The 6141-nt window shown below is 41.9% G+C and overlaps 1 protein-coding gene and 1 long non-coding RNA gene across 10 annotated transcripts in view, besides 1 other annotated feature; one reads left to right on the top strand and one right to left on the bottom strand.

The window, feature by feature from the left end:
• Positions 1–6141, top strand: part of RFX7 (regulatory factor X7) — a 157803-nt gene that overhangs the window by 89537 nt on the left and 62125 nt on the right. The window lies entirely within an intron of this gene.
• The window catches only part of LOC124903498 (uncharacterized), a 13130-nt gene extending 6989 nt beyond the window's left edge, over positions 1–6141 (bottom strand). The window contains exon 1 of the long non-coding RNA XR_007064648.1: positions 6049–6141. This is a non-coding gene — a long non-coding RNA (uncharacterized LOC124903498). The remainder of the gene's footprint in view (positions 1–6048) is intronic.
• Positions 5401–5695: a silencer, noted in NCBI's record as "tiled region #1757; K562 Repressive non-DNase unmatched - State 23:Low". NCBI's record gives its function as "represses a minimal TATA promoter and a strong SV40 promoter by Sharpr-MPRA in K562 cells {active_cell/tissue: K562}" and the evidence as "EXISTENCE:reporter gene assay evidence [ECO:0000049][PMID:27701403]".

Here is a 6141-nt window from a genome sequence, read left to right as displayed (position 1 = left end):
TGAGCGAGAACACGCAGTATTTGGTTTTCTGATCTTGTGATAGTTTGCTGAGAATGACGGTTTCCAGCTTCATCCATGTCCCTGCAAAGGACATGAACTCATCCTTTTTTATGGCTGTATAGTATTCCGTGGTGTATATGTGCCACATTTTCTTAATCCAGTCTATCATTGATAGACATTTGGGTTGGTTCCAAGTCTTTGCTATTGTGAATAGTGCCGCAATAAACATACGTGTGCATGTGCCTTTATTGTAGAATGATTTATGGGTATATGCCCAGTAATATTGTGGGTCAAATGGTATTTCCAGTACTAGATTCTTGAGGAATTGCCATACTGTCTTCCGCAATGGTTGAACTAATTTACACTCCCACCAACACTGTAAAAGCGTTCTTATTTTTCCACAACCTCTCCAGAATCTGTTGTTTCCTGACTTTTTAATGATCGCCATTCTAACTGCCGTGAGATGGTATCTTATTGTGGTTCCCATTTTCATTTCTCTAGTGACCAGTGATGATGAGCATTTTTCCTATGTCTGTTGGCTGCATAAATGTCTTCTTTCGAGAAGTGTCTGTTCATACCCTTTGCCCATTTTTTGATGGGGTTGTTTTTTTTCTTGTAAGTTTGTTTAAGTTCTTTGTTTCTGGATATTAGTCCTTTGTCAGGTGGATAGATTGCAAAAATTTTCTCCCATTCTGTAGGTTGCCTGTTCACTCTGATGATAGTTTCTTTTGCTGTGCAGAAGCTCTTTAGTTTTAATTATATCTCACTTGTCAATTCTGGCTTTTGTTGCCATTGCTTTTGGTGTTTTAGACATGAAGTCTTTGCCCATGCCTATGTCCTGAATACTATTGCCCAGGTTTTCTTCTAGGATTTTTATGGTCCTAGGTCTTACGTTTAAGTCTTTGATCCATCTTGAGTTGATTTTTGTAAAAGGTGTAAGGAAGGGATCCAGTTTCAGCTTTCTACATATGGCTAGCCAGTTTTCCCAGCACCATTTATTAAATAGGGAATCCTTTCCCCATTGCTTGTTTTTCTCAGGTTTGTCAAAGATCAGATAGTTGTAGATATGCGGAGTTATTTCTGAGGGCTCTGTTCTGTTCCATTGGTCTGTATATTTGTTTTGGCACCAGTACCATGCTGTTTGGTTACTGTAGCCTTGTAGTATAGTTTGAAGTCAGGTAACATGATGCCTCCAGCTTTGTTTTTCCTGCCCCGGATTGTCTTGGCTATGCGGGCTCTTTTTTGGTTCCATATGTAGTTTAAAGTAGTTTTTTCCAATTCTGTGAAGAAAGTCAGTGGTAGCTTGATGGGGATAGCACTGAATCTATAAATTACTTTGGGCAGTATGACCATTTTCATGATATTGATTCTTCCTATCCATGAGCATGGAATATTTTTCCTTTTGTTTGTGTCTTCTCTTATTTCCTTGAGCAGTAGTTTGTAGTTCTCCTTGAAATCCTTCACGTCCCTTGTAAGTTGTATTCCTAGGTATTTTATTCTCTTAGTAGTGATTATGAATGGGAGTTCACTCATGATTTGGGTCTCTATTATTGGTGTATACAAATGCTTGTGATTTTTGCACACTGATTTTGTATCTTGAGACTTTGCTGAAGTTGCTTATCAGATTAAGGAGATTTTGGGCTGAGATGATGGGGTTTTCTAAATATACAATCATGTCATCTGCAAACAGAGACAATTTGACTTCCTCTCTTCCTATTTGAATACCCTTTATGCTTTGTCTTTCCTGATTGCCCTGGCCAGAACTTCCAATATTATGTTGAATAGGAGTGGTGAGAGAGGGCATCCTTGTCTTGTGCCAGTTTTCAAAGGGAATGCTTCCAGTTTTTGCCCATTCAGTATGATACTGGCTGTGGGTTTGTCATAAATAGCTCTTATTATTTTGAGATAAGTTCCATCAATACCTAGTTTATTGAGAGGTTTTAGCATGAAGGGGTGAATTTTATCAAAGGCCTTTTCTGCATCTATTGAGATAATCATATGGTTGTTGTCATTGGTTCTTTTTATGTGGATTGGGTTTATGTGGATGGGATTATGTTTATTGATTTATGTGGATGGATTACGTTTGTTGTTTATGTGGATTGGATTTATGTGAATGGATTATGTATATTGATTTGTGTATGGTGAACAAGCCTTGCATCCCAGGGATGAAGCAAACTTGATCATGGTGGATAAGCTTTTTGATGTGCTGCTGGATTCGGTTTGCCTGTATTTTATTGAGGGTTTTCACATCGATGTTCATCAGGGATATTGGCCTGAAATTTTCTTTTTTCGTTGTGTCTCTGCCAGGTTTTGGTATCAGGATGATGCTGGCCTCATAAAATGAGTTAGGGAGGAGTCCCTCTTTTTCTGTTGTTTAGAATAGTTTCAGATGGAATGGTACCAGCTCCTCTTTGTACCTCTGGTAGAATTCGGCTGTGAATCCGTCTGGTCATGGACTTTTTTTGGTTGGTAGGCTATTAATTACTGCCTCAATTTCAGAGCTTGTTATTGGTCTATTCAGGGATTCGACTTCTTTGTGGCTTAGACTTGGGAGGCTGTATATGTCCAGGAGTTTATCCATTTCTTCTAGATTTTCCAGTTTATTTGCATAGAGGTTTTTATAGTATTCTCTGATGGTAGTTTCTATTTCTGTGGGGTCAGTGGTGATATCCCCTATATCATTTTTTTATTGTGTCTATTTGACTCTTCTCTCATTTCTTCTTTATTAGTCTGGCTAGTGGTCTATTTTGTTGATTTTTTTTTTTCAAAAAACCAGCTCCTGGATTCATTGATTTTTTTTTTTGAAGGGTTTTTTGTGTCTCCATCTCCTTCAGTTCTGCTCTGATCTTAGTTATTTCATGTCTTCTGCTAGTTTTTGAATTTGTTTTCCCTTGCTTCTCTAGTTCTTTTAATTTTGATGTTAGGGTGTCAATTTTAGGTCTTTCCTGCTTTCTCTTGTGGGCATTTAGTGCTATAAATTTCCCTCTAAACACTGCTTTAAATGTGTCCCAGAGATTCTGGTATGTTGTGTCTCATTCTCATTGGTTTCAAAGAACATCTTTATTTCTGCCTTCATTTCGTTATTTACCCAGTAGTCATTCAGGAGCAGGTTGTTCAGTTTCCATGTATTTGTACGGATTGGGGTAAGTTTCTTAACCCTGAGTTCTACTTTGATTGCACTGTGGTCTGGGAGACTATATGTTATGATTTCCCTTCTTTTGCATTTGCTGAGGAGTGTTTTACTTCCAATTATGTGGTCAGTTTTAGCATAAGTGTGATGAAGTGCTGAGAAGAATGTATACTCTGTTGATTTGGGGTGGAGAGTTCTGTAGATGTCTATTAGGTCCACTTGGTCCAGAGCCGAGTTCAAGTCCTGAATATCCTTGTTAATTTTCTATCTCATTTATCTAATATTGACAGTGGGGTGTTAAAGTCTCCTACTATTATTGTGTGGGAGTCTAAGTCTCTTTATAGGTCTCTAAGAACTTGCTTTATGAATCTGGGTGCTCCTGTATTGGCTGCGTATATATTTAGGATAGTTAGCTCTTCTTGCTACATTGTTCCCTTTACCATTATGTAATGCCCTTCTTTGTCTCTTGATCTTTGTTGGTTTAAAGTCTGTTTTATCAGAGACCAGGATTGCAACCCCTACTTTTTTTTGCTTTCCATTTGCTTGGTGGATCTTCCTCCATCCCTTTATTTGAGCCTATGTGTGTCTTTGCACATGAGATAGGTCTCCTGAATACAGCACACTGATGGGTCTTGACTCTTTATCTAATTTGCCAGTCTGTGTCTTTTAATTGGGGCATTTAGCTTATTTACATTTAAGGTTAATATTGTTATGTGTGAATTTGATCCTGTCGTTATGATGCTATCTGGTTGTTTTGCCCATTAGTTAATGCAGTTTCTTAATAGTGTCGATGTTCTTTACAATTTGGTATGTTTTTGCAGTGGCTGGTACCAGTTATTCCTTTCCATGTTTAGTGCTTCTTTCAGGACCTCTTGTAAGGCAGGTCTGGCAGTGACAGAATCCCTCAGCATTTGCTTGTCTGTAAAGGATTTTATTTCTCCTTCACTTATGAAGCTTAGTTTGGCTGAATATGAAATTCTGGGTTGAAAATTCTTTTCTTTAAGAATGTTGAATATTGGCTCCCACTCTCTTCTGGCTTGTAGGGTTTCTGCCGAGAGAGCTGCTGTTAGTCTGATGGGCTTCCCTTTGTGGGTAACCTGACCTTTCTGTCTGGCTGCCCTTACCATTTTTTATTTCATTTCAACCTTGGTGAATCTGACGATTATGTGTCTTGGGGTTGCTCTTCTCGAGGAGTATCTTTGTGGTGGTCTCTGTATTTCCTAAATTTGAATGTTGGCCTGTCTTGCTCGGTTGGAGAAGTTCTGGATAATATCCTGAAGAGTGTTTTCCAACTTAGTTCCATTCTCCCTGTCACTTTCAGGTATACCAATCAAATGTAGATTTGGTCTTTTCACGTAGTCCCATATTTCTTGGAGGCTTGACTCGTACCTTTTTTTTTTCCCTCTAATCTTGTCTTCTCGCTTTATTTCATTAAGTTGATCTTCAGCTGATATCCTTTCTTCTGGTTGATCGATTTGGCTATTAATACTTGTGTATGCTACACGAAGTTCTCGTGCTGTGTTTTTCAGCTCCATCAGGTCATTTATGTTCTTCTCTACCTTGGTTATTCTAGTTAGCAATTCAACTAACCTTTTTTCAAGGTTATTAGCTTCCTTGCATTGGGTTAGAACCTGGTGCTTTAGCTCAAAGTTGTTCGTTATTACCCACCTTCTGAAGCCTACTTTTGTCAGTTCTTCAAACTCATTCTGCATCCAATTTTGTTCCCTTGCTGGCGAGGGGTTGTGATCCTTTGGAGGAGGAAAGGCGTTCTGGTTTTTGGAATTGTTAGCCGTTTTGCGTTGGTTTTCCCTCATCTTTGTGGATTTATCTACCTTTTGTCTTTGATGTTGGTGACCTTCCAGTGGGGTCTTTGAGTGGATGTGTTAACTCCCGACCCTGTTTGTCTGGGTATCACCAGCGGAGGCTGCAGAGCAGCAATGATTGCTGCCTGTTGTTTCCTCTGGAAGCTGCGACCCAGCGGAGCACCTGCCAGATGCCAGCCAGAGCTCTCCTGTATGAGGTGTCTGTCGGCCCCATCTGGGAGGTGTCTCCTAGTCAGTATACACAGGGGTCAGGGACCCACTTGAGGAGACAGACTGAGCCTTAGCAGAGCTGGAACGCTGCACTGGGAGTTCTGCTGCTCTCTTCAGAGCCATCAGGCAGGGATGTTTAAGTCTGCTATAAGCCACTGACTGGGGCTGCTGCCTGTTTTACAGAGATGCCCTGTCCAGAGAGGGGCAATCAGGCAGTCTGGCCACCGCAGCCTTGCTGAGCTGCAGTGGGCTCCACCCAGTTTGAACTTCCCAGCAGCTTTGTTTATCCTGTGGCTGTGAAACTGCCTACTCAAGCTTCAGCAATGGCCGACCCCCCCGCCCCACCCCGCAACCCCCCGACCAAGGTCGACTGTCTCAGGTGCATCTCAGATTGCTGCTGTGCTGGCAGCGAGAATTTCAAGCCAGCGGATCTTAGTTTCCTGGGCTCCGTGGGAGTGGGACCCGCTGAGCCAGACCACTTGACTCCCTGGCTTCAGCGCCCCTTTCCAGGGGAGTAAATGGTTCTGTCTTAGTGGCATTCCACATGCCACTGGGGTATGGCAAAGAAGAAAAAAAAAAAAGCTCCTGCATCTAGTTCGGTGTCTGCCCAATTGGCCAGCCAGTTCTGTGCTTGAAACCCAGGGCCCTGGTAGGGTAGTCACCAGAGGGAATCTCCTGGTTTGTGGGTTACGAAGACCATGGGACAAGCGCAGTGTCTGTGCTGGAGTTCTTCAGGCTCAGTCCCTCACAGCTTCCCTTGGGTAGGGGGGAAAATTCCCCGACACCTTGTGCTTCCCAGGTGAAGTGACGCCCCACCCTGCTTCGCCTCGCCCTCCGTGGGCTGCACACACATTCCAACCAGTCCCAGTGAGATGAACCAGGTACCTCAGTTGGAAGTGCAGAAATCACCCGCCTTCTGCATCAATCTCGCTGGGAATTGCAGACCGGTGCTGTTCCTGTCTGTTTCCACATTTTTAT

The sequence above is a fragment of the Homo sapiens genome, chromosome 15 (assembly GCF_000001405.40).
Source record: "Homo sapiens chromosome 15, GRCh38.p14 Primary Assembly".
Lineage (NCBI taxonomy): Eukaryota > Metazoa > Chordata > Mammalia > Primates > Hominidae > Homo > Homo sapiens.
The sequence above is the reverse complement of the archived record's forward strand: the minus strand, read 5'-3'. Positions and strand labels throughout refer to the sequence as shown.